Below are 19,165 nucleotides of genomic sequence, written 5' to 3' on the forward strand. Positions count from 1 at the left end.
AGTAAGAACTTATTTTCTATTTTTAGCTGTAAGAATAGCTATTCATTTGTTTCTTAACAATATTTCTTCTCCTTTAGGGAAAATCTAATTTCCAAGTTACTATTCATTTGTGGATTACATTTTATTGTTACTAAAAACAGCATTATTTCCTTAGCTTAATGGTCCAATTTTACAAAATTAGCGATTTTATATATTAGGTATGTTTCTTTTACCAAGTTTTTCTACCATTGTAAAAGAATACCATTATCAGATTAGATTTTAAGCCTAAAATTATACATTACTATTTCTATTTACTTGATATGAAGTTTGAAATTCATGTTTGTTCGGGTGCCATTGGAGTACATATATAGAAAAGGCTCAACTTAATGTATAGCTTTCAGTTTGTCACAGGCACACTTAATAGAGCTAAGTACTAGAGCAAAGTTCTTCCTGTACTTGCAGTAAAAAACAAAAAACAAAAAAACCACAAAGATAGCAGTGATGGACCTTTAACCAAAGAATTCAGTTACAACTGTGCTCAAACTTACTGCAATTTTTATTAGCACTCAAGAGAGCCAATGCTTTACTTATCTTTTGTGCACAATGACTTACTTTACTTTTGTAAGCACTATGTCATTACGAAGCTATTTACAAGGTATTTAGAAAACAAAATTAATTCCTTAAAACCATCTATAAAATCCACTATCATACTAAAAATTAAAAAACAAAAACAAAAGTGAAGTCCACCCAAACTTTGAAGAGCTGGGCTTTTTTTTGTTCCTTTCCCTCTATTACCTGACAACATAGCAGTAATAGATAGGACCTCATTAGAACAGTTGTAGTCACAACTTGCAATAACCATTTTTGCGAGCTGTGGATCTAGAGGAAACTCTGCCATCATGGATCCCAATTCAGTCAGATCTCCATCATCATTTAAAGCAGCCAGGTAATTCAAAAGTTCCAGGGCTCTCATCAGAGTTTCAGGAGCTAGTGGTAAAAGACAATCTATTAGACACGGTGCCTTAAGCAAGCAAAAATGTGACAAAGTACAAACTATTATAAGCAATCTCATTTTTCATTTTGCAGTGGACCAAACTCAAACTCAAACTGTCATCCAATTCAATTATACAGATCTAGCAAACAATGAATCATAAAAACATTGCAAAATTTTCCTGTAGGCAAAACTGTCTTCTTCCGAAATACATTAAATAATTGCTAATTCATCAATGTGTTTATCAAACTGTTTTTCCCCAAAGAAAACTTAGGAATTCTCACATTTTCATGCCCAGAGGATAATTCAATTTACCCAAACCCCCCCATAATAACTTTTGAAGAAAAAAAAAAAATGTGCTCATATAACTGTCACCTTTTTTAGTTTTAATGCTATCATGTAAGACTTAATCTTGATGCATACTGGATGGAAAAAGCAAAATGTATTTAATACATATATTAAATAGGATGGAGAAAAACACTAAGAGTCAATTTTGGTTAAAAGATCTGATAAAAATGTGTTTTGATAAGTCATACCTGGTGGATCCATAAAATCAAAATGTACCAAGTCATCAATACCAAGTTTCTTCAATTGTAACACAACTGATCCTAAATTAGAACGCAAAATCTCAGGATAGGTGTTATCCTAGCAAAGAACAAAAACATTTATTGGTTATGTTAAAAATGCCTCAGTCTCCTCGTTCCAGAAAACAAAAATCTGCTGCCTCCTGAGCTATTTGTTTTGGCATTACTTCTACACTGTCTCAGTAGAGATAAATACTTGTAGGCTAGACTAGAGAGAAACCATTTTTCTCCAACTATCTTTATAGTATTCAGTGTTTGCTACTGTCCATAAAACTCGCAACTGCAGAAAGAAATTCGTATAGTAGTCTTCACTCATCTGAACTCGCAATTTCCATGGTTTCAGTTAAGCAGTGTCAACAGAAAAAATTTTAAAGATTCCAGAAAAAATTCATCAAGTTTAAATTGTGCACCATTCTTAGTAGTATGCTATATACACTATACACCCATTTGTCACTTAGCAACCATCTGTTATTAGATCAACTTTTGCAGTATCACAGTGCTTGTGCTCAAGTAACCTTTTACTTAATAATGGCCCCAAAGCGCCAAGAATATTGATGCTGGCAATTTGGATATGCCAATGAGAGGCCCTGAAGTGCTTCCTTTAAGTGAAACGCTGAAAGTTAGTAAGGAAAGAAAAAAAGTTGAAACCTAGTAACAAAAGAGCAAAAAAATCACATCTAAAGAAAGAATGCATCTTCTATCAGTGAAATTGTAAAGAAAGATATTTATACATAGTATATGTAAGTAAGGTTCAGCATATTCCAGTTTTTAGGCGTGGGAGGGGGAGGGTCTTGGAATGTATCAGCCTGGAATAAGGGGGTGTACGACTATCTAAGTTAATTACACCATACATTTCACTCCTGGAAAAGCTAAGGAGCTTTTAATCCTAAAAGGCAAGATTAAGTAAATAAGGCAATGTTCTTCTGGTAAGATAATTCAACCTAACATTTTAAACATATCGGCAGGAAACGACAATACCCCATACCTGCATTTCTGTTTTATAAGCTTTCTCTGTGTAAAGTCTGAAGCATTTTCCAGGTCTGGTACGTCCAGCTCGACCAGCCCTTTGCTGAGCTGAAGCTTTACTAATAGCTGTCACCAAAAGGGACTCAACTCTGATTCGAGGATTGTAGACCTATTGGAATTGAAATAACACAAGAGTCTTTCTTCAGTCAAACACAAAATTGTGATGCAACAGAAGTATCCAAAGCCCACAGTTAATTCCAAAATAAATAAAGAAATATCGATAGCCATAAATCATGCTGCTACAATAGACAACCCACCATCCTGAACCTTAAAGTTCTTTCAGACATTCTAATTCGATCATCTGAAAGACTCTAACATGAAAAACTTCTTGTCAAACACACAGCTTATATAATCCTTACTCCTCCTAATTTCAGTTCTATCAGGCTGACCTTGTTCCTTGCTTTTTATATGCTGGGCAGTCAAGGATTCTGCCCGAAAAGAAACCTTCACTTTCAAAACTCGACGGTCTGAGTACTATTACTCTGTTACTGTTTAATGAAAAAATTTCCATCAATAACAAAATGTAATCAATTTATCCAAAAGATATTTGAAAAATAAAACGTATTTATTGAATAGCCACTTCACCTGCATTTCACTTCATTTAGTATACAGCACTGTTAAACTAGAGGAGTAACATAGTACTGTTTTCAAATAGTGTGCCTAGTTGACAGCAGTAACTCTAATAATGTTGGGAGAAGTGACTGAACTGCAGGGATAGAAATCCTGTACTTTATTACTAAACCCATACTGTTAAATGAATATACAAGCCAAAACACCCACCGTCACTACACTGAAACAAAGAAAGCAAAGCAACTCTAAAAGAAAAAAAAGCCTAGAATTACATATTAAATACTGTCTTAATTTCTGAGAGCCAGCCAAAACATAAAGGGTTCATACAGCAGAAATTTGCAAATAAAAAAAAAGATAGGAAAATAATTCTGAAAGGTAAATTTTAGCCATTAAATGAATTGGTTGTAAGTACTGTTAAACCAACTCTAATTTATAAAGTATCCACTAAATATGTACCTTCTGTTTCGCAAATCCAGGATCAATCACAAACACCACACCATCTATTGTCAAAGACGTCTCTGCTATGTTAGTTGACACAACTACCTGTTAAGAAATAGAGTATATAAATTATATTACATATCAAATAAAATTAACAGGACTGTTAAAGATCAGCCACTAACTTTCACTGACACAAGGAATTTCAAGCCAGCAAATAAACTAGAAATATCATTTGATCTTCAATGGCCAATGCTTTAAAAAGGTAAATTAATATTTAAGGAACCAAAATTTTGTTTACACCACAACAGCAACTTCTTTCTCAACAAAGCTATTACTTCAGGTTATCACTCAACCGCATTACATTTTGCTTAATCAAATTAATGGACAGCATAAAAAGAAAAATACTGATGAAGCAATATAACGTGCCTTACAAAACGTCTGATAAAACAGCCCTTATAATTAGTATTCAAATTTCCACAAGTGTATATTTCAATGTTTTTGGGCAATATTTACAAATGAAAACTTCGTTATTTATATCACCAAAATTCAACTCAACATTTTAAACAAAATGCCACATGGAAAAAAACTCAAGTTATAATCCAGTAAGAATGGACAGATCAGCAGAATCAAATGTAAATATTTCGGTAAGTGCATGGTCTCAACGGGATGACATGTAATACGTTACTACATACAAAGCAACTGTTAAGAACTATAATTCTTTATTGACGGAAAATGTTTAAAGCATTTACATACTAATATGATAGCTTGTTTGGTATACGTGCATGTTTTACTATATATTACATATGTTTTAGAAAATTAGTTAAGGACTTGGGAAATACATGTTACATATAATTTTTTTTTAAACAATGGGAAATGGGGATTCCTCATTAGTATTTTAACTCAGGACATGATTTTCAGGAACAGGTTACTGATATTAAGTTGAAGATGTCTGTATATGCAAGCAATTGATACAGAAGATGAATCAAACAGAGTCTGCTTTTACCATTTGTAAGGGATGATTAGACATGGATAGAAAGTGTGAGTGGCACCAAAGACACACTGTGAAATTTAAAAAGGTTTACTTCCATAGCAAAGTCAAGAAAAGCTTTACTGAAAAATAATAGCATTTAGGACAGTCCTTGACGGTAAGGTTAAGACCTACTCATGAGAGAAGGAAACAGCACTAGCACTAAAGTTCCATCTTAAAAAAACACATGTGGGAGAAATGCCTATGGGCACATACAAAAAATGAAAAGATTTATATTTATCCCTATTTTATTTTAAAAACACTTAATTTTATAAATCAAATAGCTTTAAAAATCATAGGCTTTTGCTGCATTAACTATTTTACTTAATATTAACACTTTCATTTTCTGATTTCATATTTACTAAGTAGTAGACTTCCCAAAATACTAACAGGAAACCTCAGGGATTTAAAAACATAATAGCAATCTACCAAGAGGGTATTTCAGAATAATTTACAAGTCAAAAACCAAAATGTTTCCTTTTGTCAGTTGAAAAGACTGACAACTAGCAAAGGAATAAGAAACCACATGTGGTTTGATGATGTTGCTGAAATACATTCTTCAGGACATTTAGAAAAATAATCAGCAACTAGAACTGAAGCAAACAACGACATACATAAGGTTAACAGGTGAAACTTGAATAAGCATAACCGGCATTTAATATTCTAGAAAGTCAGTTTCTTGTAGTTAAAGAAGCGATGAATTTAGAGGTAACTGGCAGACCTAGCAATCAAACCTGAGTGGCTAAAGTAACTGGAAAGGTTTTAACACCCCCAAGCTTGTATTCCTTTTATAACTTGCATATTACTTAGTCTACATAACACAGGGTTGTAGGGAATAAATTATGTAAGGATGTGGAAATGCTCTATAAACTATACAGAATAGGCCAGGCATGGTGGCTCACATCCGTAATCCCAGCACTTAAAAAGGCCAAGGAGGATTATTTGAGTCCAGGAGTTTGAGACAAGCCTGGACAACATAGTAAAACCCCACCTCTACAAAAAAATAAAAGAAATTAGCCAGGCATGGTGGCACATGCTTGTAGTCCCAGCTACCGAGGAGGCTAAGGTGGGAGGACTGCTTGAGTCCAGGAGGTTCAGGTTGCAGTGAGCTATGATCATGGCACAGAACTCCACCCTAGGCAACAGACTGAGACCCTATCTCAAATCTATACAGAACCAACTACATGCCTGTAAATACAGAAGACGTCTTCTGGCTTTCTGGAATTCTGGGGTGAAAACCATAGTTCTGAAAATATTTATGAAGAAAATCACTTTTAAAAAAGTTGTTCTGGGAAAAAATACATTTCACATATTTCTTCTATAACATAATACAATGTGATAAAAATTTCTCATGTGACCAACTCTTTAGTTACCATTATAAAAAGTTAATTTTTCTCCACAAAATAATTTCATCCTGTGTGTATGTTTTTTGTCTGGGTGAGTGTATTAAATTCTGTAATACTTAACAATTCGCGGATACATGATTCTGCAAGTGTTTAAGAATCAAATGATTTATGCCAACTTGGCAAACCCTCGTCATTATTGATATTAGTAAGAGCCTATTGCCAGCCAAAAGTCAAACCCTAAAATACAAGTGTTAAATTGAGTCCTTAACAAAAAAGCACAAGTTTTAGGCCTTTCTCAAGGACTAAAAATAGCTAAGGCTAAATACACACACACACAATGCAAAAGCGAACTAATAAATGACAAGATAAAAGCTTCTTTGGTACTTCAGCAGTTGAGTGAGGCAAGCCCTAACCATGTTCTAATTGTAAATGGCACACCATACAACCAGGAACCCATCAGGAGACAAAATGACCTTGAATTTGTCAAGGGATTTACATTATGACCAGTAAGAATCAATATAATTGTTACATGCTTTCTAGACTGCAACACTGCAGTAAGCGTTCAAAGAGCCTTAAAAAGTGTTCAAACCGCATTGACTAATATGGAACAGACCCTATGGTGAAAAGCTTGGCATCACTGTCAGGACATGCTAAGAGTAAATTTTCCTCCCTCAATAACCTGCCTTCTAATAGAACTCACTTTTTTTCTAATAGAACCACTTCCCCCCACTCCGCCCCCAATAACTCCACTTCAAAGTAGAACTCGCAGTACTTCATTTGCCCTACCTGAATACTGTCTGGACACAATAATGCATTTAAACTAATTTGGACTTTTAGTCCCCAGGGAACTCTGTGGTGGTCTCCAACACAAGGACATCAACTTATTTGCTTATAAACATCCCAGCAGCACCACAGTAAGCTATCTTCAGATCCTGGATCATTAAGTCTTTCTTTAAAACTACAGGACCATCTCCACAAGGGCCATTTCTCTTTTTCACTGAGCAATGTATGCTCTGAACCATATTAATCAGCGAAATGTAGGATCAACTATAGAAAAGTCAGCTATTTGTATGAACAAAATTAATGAACACTAAATATTTAAAAAATAATTATAGTTGTATTTTAATAACAACCAAATCCACAAAATAGCAATTTTAAGTCTCAGTCAAAAAATGCAGAAGTTATCTACTGAAGAGTAAACTTGAATGCATGTAAAGAATTACTGTAACTTTTAACTTAGTCAAATACTTGAATAAACTTCAAAAATTATCAAGAGGTAAAAATATTTACCCTCATATAAATATATGTTGCATTCTCAACCTTTCTTGATTGCTAAAAACTTGAAATCGTTCACCATTAGTGCTGTAACATGTTTAAAAGGCTGTTTTTTATTAGTACCACAATCAAGTTATAAAATCTATTTTTCATAAACTAATAGAGAAATAAGAAATGGCACTGCCTTATAAAAGGGACTCAAATATAAAGTTATACAGAATCACAATTAATTTGATGGAAATTAAAATTTGTATTAAGTATTATATTTGTTCAAAAACTTTCAACTTTTATATATTTGCTTTATGCTAGCTACTATCCTTATATTAGAACAGTTTAACAAAAAAATCAAATATTTTTTCACAATTAGACACAAACAGTAAGTTTAAAATTACATATGAACAGTAAAACTTGTATAGATCCCTCCTCTATAAGCCAGGCTTGTATGAAAACTTTAAATTTGTGCTTAACATGCTGCGCCTCAGAATGTTCTTCCTCATAATGAAAATGATGCAGCAACTGCCAAGGAAGTCTTCCTTTACTCTCCCTAGGACTGTCCAGGGAAGCTACATCAGTGCTTTTCTCAACCTCTAAGATGAAATTGACTCAAGGCAAGGATAACATGATTTCCCAGCAAGAGGTCCTACAGTTTCGGCTGAAACACCATCACTGGATGGCAAAGTGGCAATATAGCCCCTAGTTTTGAATTATAAGCTCATGATCAGTCCTCAGAGTGAGCCCATCACCAGCTGTGGCCATCATCACATATCCAGCCACTGCTGAGTCACTCTTTTCAGTAAGACAAAATTCTCCTCAGCATCCTAAGGATTTAAAACACAAAAAGCAAAACAGAAACAAAAACTTTAATTTACTTCAACGACAGCAAGAGCTCAGATGTGTAACTGTAGTAAATATGGGCCCATATATCTCAAAGAAGAACTCAATGAAACGAGAAGTACACAAAAGGATGCACAAACAGGACATCTTTGTTGTACACCAGTTTCACTCAATGGTAAACAAACACAACGTTTTAAAAATAAAACAAATACAGATATACAAAGTACACATGATTTCAAGACAAATGAAAACTAGGCAGGCTGAGGGCTGGGCGTAGTGGCTAATGCCTGTAGTCCTAGCACTTTGGGAGGCCCAGGAGGGGGGACTGATTGAACCCAGGAGTTTAAGACCAGCCCTGGCAACATAGTGAGACCCCATGTTGTTTAAAAAAAAAAAAAAATTAAAGCTTTGCCTGGAGGATGCATTAACTTATTATATAAATATTTAAGACATATATGTCTCTCTCTCTCTCTCTCTCTCTCTCTCTATGTATGTATGTGTATATATATATATATATATATATATATATATATATATATCTATATCTATATCTATATCTATCTGCTGATGGGGACTATATATCTGCTGATGGGGAATCAAAGATGTCTTCCCAGCCCCTCAACAAAGTATCTCAGAAATAGGGCTGAAATAATCTTGTTCCTGTCCGTTTGACAGGATCTAGATGAAGCTTCTGCATTCCAGGAACTCACATACTTATGCAGTGTGATCAGTGCTACTTTTTTTTTTTTTTTTTTTTTTGAGATGGAGTCGCGCTGTCGCCCAGGCTGGAGTGCAGTGTTGCGGTCTCAGCTCACTGCAACCTCCGCCTCTAGGGTTCAAGCGATTCTCCTGCCTCTGCCTCCTGAGTAGCTGGAATTACAGGCACGCGCTACCACGCCCGGCTAATTTTTTTGTATTTTCAATACAGACAGGGTTTCACCATGTTGGTCAGGCTGGTCTCAAACTCCTGACCTCGTGATCCACCCACTTCGGCCTCCCAAAGTGCTGGGATTACAGGCCTGAGCCGCCACGCCCGGCCAGATCAGTGCTACTGTTATTAGAGGTCTGCACAGGGTCAACATTTCACACCTATAGACATTACATTTGGGAAGCCTTAAACAAAATTATGGGCAGAAGGCCAAGGCACCAAAGAAAAAGTGCTTACTTTATAACAAGTGATTTAATAGGAGAAAAGACAGTACTTGGCCAACATCCTTTCTTAACCCATCCTAACTAATCTTCCATTTGCTAAGGAGGCACTACCTAGAAGAAGCAGTACTCATTCTTACTTTAGGGTCAAGAGATATGCGGAACCCTACAAATGGATATTATTTTGTTGTATAAAACCTAGATCACAATCACCCATAACTTAGTCCTTTATAACTGAATACAGTTTATATCTCATAAATCATTATTAGTGAAATATTTATAAAGAGCATTTCTAATGTTACCTTTCTTCCAATTGCTCCATTCTGTTTTTTGGGAGGTGGAGGCTCAAAAATGCGTTGCTGCTGCTGAGGTGGAAGTGTAGAATACAATGGAATGATTTTAATGTCACCAACTTCAGGGCCCAAATCATCAACTTCACGCTTTATTCTCTTACAGGCTTCATCAATTTCCTACAAAATAAAAGTGAGTCTAAAAACGAATACTGAAACATTTTAAAGTATTTATTATAATCCTAGTTCTATGCAGTCTGTTTTATGTATGCCATCTTCTTTCACTTCATGGATACCCTGTTTTCAATTTAGTAACCAAAACTAATTTAGCAAATTTCAATGGGATTTCCAAAACAATCCAAGAAACTTTCATTTTTGTATTCAAATGAATATATAACTGCCTTATTTGCATTCCACACCCCTTTTCTTAGAGTCAGATTTCCTAATTAATTCTCAACAAATTGTACTAAAATTGAAATTTCTCACTCAGGAATATTTAAATGCACTCACGACCTTTTCAATTTTCACAATCTAAAAGAAATTGATGTGCTAGACATTTTAAATAAGCCAATTAGGCTTTAATGTCACGTATCACTAATGCAATTATATGGAAGATTTGCTTCATTGTGCCTAATGAGAACAAACACCTTTACAGTATCAACACAGATATTTAAGAACTAGGCTAACCCAAATGTCTTAGGCAGCTACAAATTTTTTTCTCAGAAAACTACAGTCACACGTTGCTTACTGACAGGAATATGTTCTGAGAAATTTGTTAGGCGATTCTGTTGTTGTGTAAACATTCTAGTGTATTCACGAACCTAAACTGTATAGCCTATTGCTCCCTAGGCTACAAACCTGAGGAGCATGTTATTGAAGTGAATAACAGTAGGCAACTGTAACACAATGGGAAGTGTTTGTTCATCTAAACAAAAGGCATGGCAAAAATATGGTATAAAAGATAAAAACCGCCAGGCACAGTGGCTCACACCTGTAATCCCAGCACTTTGGGAGGCCGAGGTGGGCGGATCACCTGAGGTTGGGAGTTCGAGACCACCCTGACCAACATGGAGAAACCCCGTCTCTACTAAAAATACAAAATTAGCTGGGCGTGGTGGCACATGCCTGTAATCCCAGCTACTCGGGAGGCTGAGGCGGGAGAATCGCTTGAACCCGGGACGCAGGAGGTTGCAATAAGCCGAGATTGCACCATTGCACTCCAGCCTGGGCAAAAAGAGGGAAACTCCGTCTCAAAAAAAAAAAAAAAAAAAAAAAAAAAAACGGTAAAAATCAGTACACTCATATAGGGCATCTGCCATGAAAGAAGTCTGCAGGACTGAAAGTTGCTGTGAGTGAGTGAGTACTTAGTGAATGTGATGGCCTAGGACATTCTGTACAGAACTGTAGACTTCATAAACACTGTACATTTTGGCGATACAAAATTTATAAAAAAATGTATTTTCTTTTTTTTGATATATTTTTCTTTCTTCATTAAATTAACCTTAGCTTACTACAACTTTTTAACTTTATAAACTTCTAAATTTTAACTCTGACTCTTGTGTAGTAACACTTAGCTTAAAACACAAACACACCGTATGGCTGTGCAAAAGTATTTTCTCTTTATATCCTTATTCTATAAGCTTCATTCCAATTTAAAATTTTTTACTTTTTCAACTTATTAAACTTTTTGGTTAAAAGACACAAACACACACTTAACCTAGGCCCCCACAGGGTCAGGATCATCAATATCACTATCTTCCACCTTAACGTATTAACCCACTGGAAGGTCTCCAAAGGCCAGTAACACACATGGAGCTGTCATCTCCTGTGATAACAATGCCTTCTCCTAGAACACCTCCTGAAGGACCTGCCTAAGCCTGTTTTACAGTTAACATTTTTAAGTCGAAGGAGAACACTCTAAAATAATGATAAAACATGTAGTATAGTAAATACAAAAACCACTAACAATGTCCTATTATCATTATTATTATGTACTGGACATAATTGTACATACTATATAGTACTTTTAAAACAACTGGCAGCAAAGTAGGTTTGTTTGAACTAGCATCATCACAAAGCAGTGAGTAATGTGTTGTGCTGTGATGCTGCAAGGTTACGTTCAGCTCCACTATAATCTTACGGGAGCAGCACCACAGCTATCTGAGAAGTTTGTCTTGACCAAAACGTTGTTATGTGGCACATGACTATATTCTAACACATGTGCATTCAAGAGGAGACATAATGAATATCAAGACGGAAAAAAAGAGAGAGACAGATTATGTATGATAGCTCTGGGAGAGGCAAAGGAACTTAAAAATGGAAGGCAGCACTGCGGACAAATGTATTCTAAATTTTATTGAAGTATTAATTCAATTAAACCCAGAAGTATGTAAAACGCTTATTATACACTAGGCAGCCTGTCCAATAAATGACCCAATCAGAAGCTACCCTTGTCAACAAAGTGCGTGTTTTTTTCAAAGGACAATGATACTAAACGGTGAGGAAGAATTTTAGGACATTTACTTTATATTTTTTTAATGTCCAACTGTGTCTCTATATCAAAAAACACAACGTTCTTAAACACAGTAAGAACAAATAAATTACTTTTCACTTATTTCAAACACATCAGTTTTTTTTAAAGGTTATCTGTCTCAAAAATTGTGACACAGAAAACTATTAAAGATTCAATGTTACTAGATCCTCCTTTGAAATCTCAAGTTTCTAAAAGAAAATGAAAGTAGATGCTATTCATCTAAATAAAAAATATAACAAAGCGAACAAATATTTTTTGAAAATACTGCTTTCAAATGTTGTATCTAGATTAGAATGCCCCCTGCTGGCATGCAAATAAAAAATTAAGAGCTCTCCAACTTAAAAAACATTTGAACATAATATAAAACTAGGATTCCAACATTTAAGAGTATCTGCAATTTTGTTAATTTTACTGTACATAAATGAAAAATAAATGCTCAGAAATCACAAAATATCCAGATTTCACACATTAAAAATTAAGTGCTTAAATTAGACATTTGCTTTGTGATTCCAGTATTTTAAAATGACAATTCCAACTTTACTGGAGATTAGACTACCCAATCTGCTAAGTATGCAAGGAGCTAAAACAAAATGATGACTATGTAGGATATAAAGGCATCTCTAAAATGTGGAAGAAATCCCGTAACACTTAAGTTTTTAGATAAAGTCCTAAACAGCTTTAAAACTTGCAATAAAAATTTTCCCTGAGGTTTGCCAAACTTCCAAGAAGTCAACACTATCAGCTGAGAATGCCACAAAACTTATCTGCATTCATCAGAATATAAACAGAAACAGGTAGTGGAGGAAAAGAAGTTTCAACAGCAGCCATCTGCTTAGTCATTAGCAATACTGAGAATAAAGACAGACAGTTCAGGAGTTTTTGATTTGAGAAAAGATTTTTAACTCCAAAAGCAGCAATATGTTAGTAAATTAATCTGGACCTTACCAATTAACTCACTGCATGTTGAAAAAAAAATTTACTAAGCAAAATTAAAAATAAAATTATTTAATTACAATCACTCTTATCTAATTACTATCTAGGCAACACTTTAAACTGTTCTCTCTCCCTCCCAAATTAACTCATGTGACTACAGAAGCACTTTTATTTAGTGGTCAGAATATGTTCTTAAAAACCAGTTTTAAATTTTTATGAGATTACTCAATTTCATGGAGGCTATTCAAATTTATGAAGAAAGGAGTACTGATTTCGCAGTTGCATTTAACTTACCAAGTAAAAATAATGAAGGTTCACAAAAATGAGAAGGTAATATTTACTTTAGACCAGCTCTACTACTAAATACAACAAATGAAATGTAAACAAAACGTTAGGTTTTCTGCTACCTTCTCCCCAAAACTCTTCAAATTCAAGACTGGGAATCTAAAGATAACTTAAAGAAGCAATGGTATGCAAAAAAACAGCTGACAACTAGAGCAGCATTTTATTTCATGAAAGACACTCTAGCATACATCTGAAAACCCTTCGGCTTACTCCCTTCCTTTCCCCAGCTGTGGGATTCACAGAAAATACCGCACAAAGTTGTCTCAGAGAAAAACCTTTCGGGTCCTTAACCATGAGGCCATTTGATATTTCTGATAGAATCTCAATACGCTTATGTTATCTGAGAATGATGACAATTTTAAATAGTGATTTAAAAAATAAAAATATGGCCAGGTGCAGTGGCTCACGCCTGTAATCCCAGCACTTTGGGAGGCCGAGGCGGGTGGATCACCTGAAGTTGGGAGTTCAAGACCAGCCTGACCAACACGGAGAAACCCCATCTCTACCAAAAATACCAATTAGTTGGGCATGGTGGCGCATGCCTGTAATCCCAGCTACTCGGAAGGCTGAGGCAGGAGAATCACCTGAACCTGGGAGGCAGAGGTTGCGGTGAGCCGAGATCGCGCCACTGCACTCCAGCCTGGGCAACAAGAGCAAAACTCCATCTCAAATAAATAAATAATAAAACAAAATAAATAAAAATAAAAATATACTATGCACTTTGGAGGAAATGAGAAACTAGAGACCAGACACAAGAGGACAAAACGATTATCCCAACAGCCTCAATACTACATTACAGCACAAATGCTGTTTATATGCCATCAAAAAAGCATTTTGGGGCCAGGTGTGGTGGCTCGCGCCTATAATCCCAGCACTTTGGGAACCCGAGAAGGGCAGATCACCTGAGGTCAGGAGTTCGAGACTAGCCTGGCCAACATAGTGAAACCCCGTCTCTACTAAAAATTAAAAAAAAATTAGCCAGGTGTGATGGTGGGCACCTGTGATCCCAGCTACTTGGGAGGCTGAGGCAAGAGAATCGCTTGAACCCGGGAGGCAGAGGTTGCAGTGAGCCGATAATCATGCCACTGCGCTCCAGCCTGGTTGACAGAGCGCGACTCTGTCTTCCCTCCCCACCCCCAAAAAGAAAAAGAAAAACCCTTTCGTAAAAGGCTTTTTAAAACTTTGTATTATCCAAATAGCTTCTGAATTTATTTAGCCACTCAGGTATTCCACAGCACACCTATAAACACCCTATTGAAAAGAAGCTTAGAAACGCTACATCTGGCCGGGTGCGATGGCTCACGCCTGTAATCCCAGCACTTTGGGAGGCCGAGGAGAGTGGATCACGAGGTCAGGAGATTGAGACCATCCTGGCTAAAACGGTGAAACCCTGTCTCTACTAAAAATACAAAAAATTAGCCGGGTGTGGTGGCGGGCACCTGTAGTCCCAGCTACTTGGGAGGCTGAGGCAGGAGAATGGCGTGAACCCAGAAGGCGGAGCTTGCGGTGAGCCAAGACTGCACCACTGCACTACAGCCTGGGCGACAGCGCAAGACTCCGTCTCGAAAAAAAAAAGAAATGCTACATCTGAGAATAAAATTTTAAATGAAGTAAATTCTAACTAAGAACTTTTAGTAATCCTTCCCAAATTTCATGAGCATATGGGAAGACAAAACCAAACTGAAGTGTTTTGATGATGAATAGGCACCCAAGTTCACTCACAAGCTAAATACTGATGAAGATAACCTGATTTCAAAGCAGCTGTGATGCACATTCATGCTTCAGCATAATAGCACTTATATCCCAGGGATCTCTTAAACTACAATTGCAAAATCTTGAAATTCCAAAAGCATTTAACACTCTTAAAATAATTATAACACAAACTCTAGTGGTATACAGAAGTATTCCTACAGTATGCAGATAAAAGGGGTTATATATTTTACATATTAATACAATCAGGTTGAAGAACATTGAAATAAAAAATATGATTAACATGTTCTTATGATTAAGGTTGCTGCATATTAGAAACAGTATGTCAAAAGCTAAATAATGAAGAAAATTAAAACAATACCTCTTGACCAGTTAAGAAAAGAAGAAGATCTCCCTCTTCCTCTTCACACATATGAATCTGGATAACTGTTCGAATTGCTGCTTCAAGATAATCTCTCTCTGGTTCTGGAGTATAGAAGATCTCAACAGGATGTGTACGCCCAGGAATAGTTAGGAGAGGACAGTTATCAAAGTAAATCTGGAATTTTCCTGCATCTAGAGTAGCGCTCATAACTATAACCTGAAAGAAAACAGTAAATTATTTGAAGCTGTCTTCAAGGATTCTTACATGGTCTTACAGTATAGCAATATTTACTATTCTACATATATCAGCTATAAAAATGCCCATGAAAACCTTCAAATAAACTGTAAATGAAAAATCAAATACATAATGGCTGAACTATAGTAAAAGTTATTTACATTTTTAAAAATTTAGAAAAAAAATAAATGCACAAACTACAGCATTTCTTCATAAAATACCTTAAAATCAGATTTTATAAAATTATATGTAATTCAGATTGCTAAAAGAAAACATTAATATGCAGTATAATTATTGCTACCATTATTAAAACAAAACTTTGCAAATAGGAAAAAACAGAAAATGCAAAAAAAAAAAATAAGTGGACCAGATATAAAAAGGTTCCTCCATAAAAAGTTTCATAAGAGTTCTTAATTTCTACTTTCAGGTTCTCACTAAAACCTTGGTAGCACAATAAATTTAATAAATAATGATAGTACTCACATTATTCTTTAAATATATTTTTTAAAGCATTGATCTAATTTGTATAAACAAAAACATGCTCAGGCCTCAGTTTTTTTTCTAAAGACCCAGAATCTTTCTTGCCAGTGTTGAACCCTTGTTTGTTTGTTTGTTTCTGCTAAGAGTCTCACTCTGTCACCAGGCTATGAACCCTTCTATAACACTTGTATCAACAAGGGATGAGTCTACATTCCAATGAATAGTATACACACACAACACAGCAAAAAGGGGAACATCATAGACTTTGGGGGACAAAAATGTCAGAAAATAGTTTTAGGCCCTTAATCAATACAGTAACAGGGGCCAAGGTACATGTGGTATGGAGGAAAGAAGTAATACACGAGGGTAAGTGACTACATTTCTAAGGAGCTGCCTGTCCTGTGTATAGTTATTTCCACTCTCCAGCATTATAAGTTACAATGGGTGTTTGTGATGAGACAAGGACATGGATCTGAGGGAGAAAGATTTGATCCTTAAGTAAAATAAGCCTCTGTACTTAATGAAGGGTACAGTGAGTAGCACAGTTACACATATATGTTATTAGATTATAAAAGAACTAGGTGGGTTACAAATTGAGAAGATTGGGCTTAAAAATGCATTACTATAAAGGGGGAGAAATAAAGTCTAAAATGAAAGCACAGCAAAGCAGAAACAAAACAAGAAGGTACTTACTAGTTCCTTCTTTTACAGGTGATTTCTTACAGTTGGTTATTGATCAGTATGTATTCCCCATTTTTATGCCCACATACACACATATATAGTTAAATGGAGAGAAGAAATTACTTCACCTTTAAATCTGATCTCTGTCTTACAACTTCCTTCAGAACACCCATTAGAATATCTGTAGCCAGTGTCCTCTCATGAGCCTCATCAAGAATTATTACACCATAACGCTCCAGGAGGGGATCATTCATAGCTTCACGAAGTAACATCCCATCAGTCATATACCTATATTCCAAAGAACATGTTGGTTAAAGGTTCCGTTAGGTCATTTTAAAACCAAACTTCGTGACAAAAATGAAATGCAAAGACATAAGGTAAATTAAAAATAAACTTCTGCCCCAAACAAATGTGCTACTGTTTCATGATCAATTGCAAAATTAAGTTTCAAGAAAATCTTTTAAGAGTATACAATGAAACAAGATATGCTTCATCAATTCTTGAAAAATGTAATACTGAAATGTACTGGGAAGACATGATATGACCAATTATGGAACATAATGATCACATGGTTTCACATGAATGCCAAGGCAAAATTCGTCATTTTCAATTTCTTAAACCTTTTAAAAACATACAAATATTCAACACGCAAAATCTAATAAACCATTTTAAGTTGCTTCATGTCACACCACTAAAATGTTACCACATGCAAATAAACATTTTTTGTTAAGCCTTAACAATTCCTTACTTAATAAGCTAACAACAGGCTCTTGGTTCAAAAGGGCTGAAAGCGTGAGTCCTCCCACCCCAAAGAAATAATCTTAAAGCACAAAAGGAATTCAATAATAAAAGAAGTGGGACTGAGGGGCAGCATCAACACTAAACAAATGCTGATACATAAATGGAAGATAAAAACAAATGACGTCAGATTGATCAATGAACCAAAAAGGGAAACCAGGCTTAGTTAGGGATGGCTCAAGTGAAGGCTGCTAATATGGACTCCAGTTATCACAAGACAGGCGCCACGTAAGAATGAAGGCAATGAGATCAAGGGTCAAGATTGTATAACTTTGCAGGGGTCAGCTATCTCCTGTCCATTCCACACTGGTTACTGATGTCACTATGAAAAACAACTATCTTCCTTTTGGCACCTGGACAAAACACAGGATGCCTTTAGATGCTTAAGTCACAGCTCATCCAGTTAGATAAAAACCCATTATTTTATTTACGGATTTAAAAGTGGTATTAAAAAATCTGAAGCCATCATTTATGAATTCACCATTTTGGCTCTTTTTATGATTAGTCTAACCTAATCTTTCATGGACCAACTGGATATTTTTAGCTCATGCCATCTGCTGGAGCATTAAGTTCAGCAAATTGATAGTGTACAACAAAAAGAAGTGAATTCTCTTTATTTCACCTAAACTTAATTCTAAATTTCATAAACTATTGGCAAACAAATCCATCTTAACTCATTTATATGCTTTATGCTTCTTGTCCTTGGTCATATTTTTAAAAATAAACTACCACATTCCTGGGAGGGACAAACAGCATTAGCTATAAGGTTATTTTATGTAAGACCAGGAAAGAAAAAACACTGCCAATTAAATTATGACTCAGTGCCTTAAAGACAGTAAAGCATAGTGCAAGAATCAGCAACACTATAGCCCTTAGCTGCTTTGAAATTTCTTTGATCTGAGGACGTTTGGTAATTTTTCCTGTCTTCCGATATATCACAGACACGAGAGAGGCAATACTCTTGTACATGATCTCAGTAGCAGAACATAACATACAGCTTCCTCTATTTGTGAGTTACCTCTCTTAGCTTCAATAGAGCGGTCTGTTGATTTGCAAGGCAAAAAAAAAAAAAAAGGATTGGTTACTCTTCCAACATTTGCTCAAATACTAGCATATTTACACCCTATTGCTCCATTTCCCAGCCTCTTGATACTCAGTGCTCATTTCAACATGGAATCATAGTGTAATATTTAATATTTCTGAAGGCATTTAAATTAGCAAATACTCTCAGTATATACAGACCCAACAATTCACATTATTTGAGGTGAAAATATGTACAGCTAGATCGAGTTCAAGCATTCACAGGCAATAATAACCAAACTGCCACCAACTACAAGACCTCAGTAGATTGTGAGACACATTGTAACTTCAGACAATAAAAACTTGAGAAAAAAGTCACAGAAATGATAAAATATGACTTTAAGTTGAAAACTTCTTAAAACTAGTTTTAAAAGTCACCTTCTTTATTTTGATCTTTTTTCTCCTCACATTCCTCAAGCTTTAATCAATCACAATATGGAGCAGAGCTAACCAACAGACATTCCTTTTTATTTTTCTAAGGGAAGAAATGTTACAGAT

General features: G+C 35.4%; 1 protein-coding gene across 3 annotated transcripts in view, besides 1 other annotated feature; it reads right to left on the reverse strand.

The window, feature by feature from the left end:
* DHX15 (DEAH-box helicase 15) overlaps window positions 1-19,165 on the reverse strand; it is a 57,080-nt gene that overhangs the window by 11,859 nt on the left and 26,056 nt on the right. For all 3 annotated transcript variants that reach the window (NM_001358.3, XM_047449698.1, XM_047449699.1), the window contains exons 4-10: window positions 16,918-17,077; window positions 15,392-15,610; window positions 9,522-9,689; window positions 3,607-3,693; window positions 2,540-2,689; window positions 1,507-1,615; window positions 775-966 (exon numbers count right to left, since the gene is read on the reverse strand). In NM_001358.3, coding sequence (NP_001349.2) covers window positions 775-966; window positions 1,507-1,615; window positions 2,540-2,689; window positions 3,607-3,693; window positions 9,522-9,689; window positions 15,392-15,610; window positions 16,918-17,077 — 1,085 coding nt within the window. The remainder of the gene's footprint in view (window positions 1-774; window positions 967-1,506; window positions 1,616-2,539; window positions 2,690-3,606; window positions 3,694-9,521; window positions 9,690-15,391; window positions 15,611-16,917; window positions 17,078-19,165) is intronic.
* Window positions 13,857-14,425: an enhancer, noted in NCBI's record as "H3K4me1 hESC enhancer chr4:24554813-24555381 (GRCh37/hg19 assembly coordinates)". NCBI's record gives its function as "activates a minimal SCP1, AML or CMV promoter by ChIP-STARR-seq in naive H9 embryonic stem cells {active_cell/tissue: H9 hESC(naive)}" and the evidence as "EXISTENCE:reporter gene assay evidence [ECO:0000049][PMID:30033119]".

The sequence above is a fragment of the Homo sapiens genome, chromosome 4, assembly GCF_000001405.40.
Source record: "Homo sapiens chromosome 4, GRCh38.p14 Primary Assembly".
Classification (NCBI taxonomy): domain Eukaryota; kingdom Metazoa; phylum Chordata; class Mammalia; order Primates; family Hominidae; genus Homo; species Homo sapiens.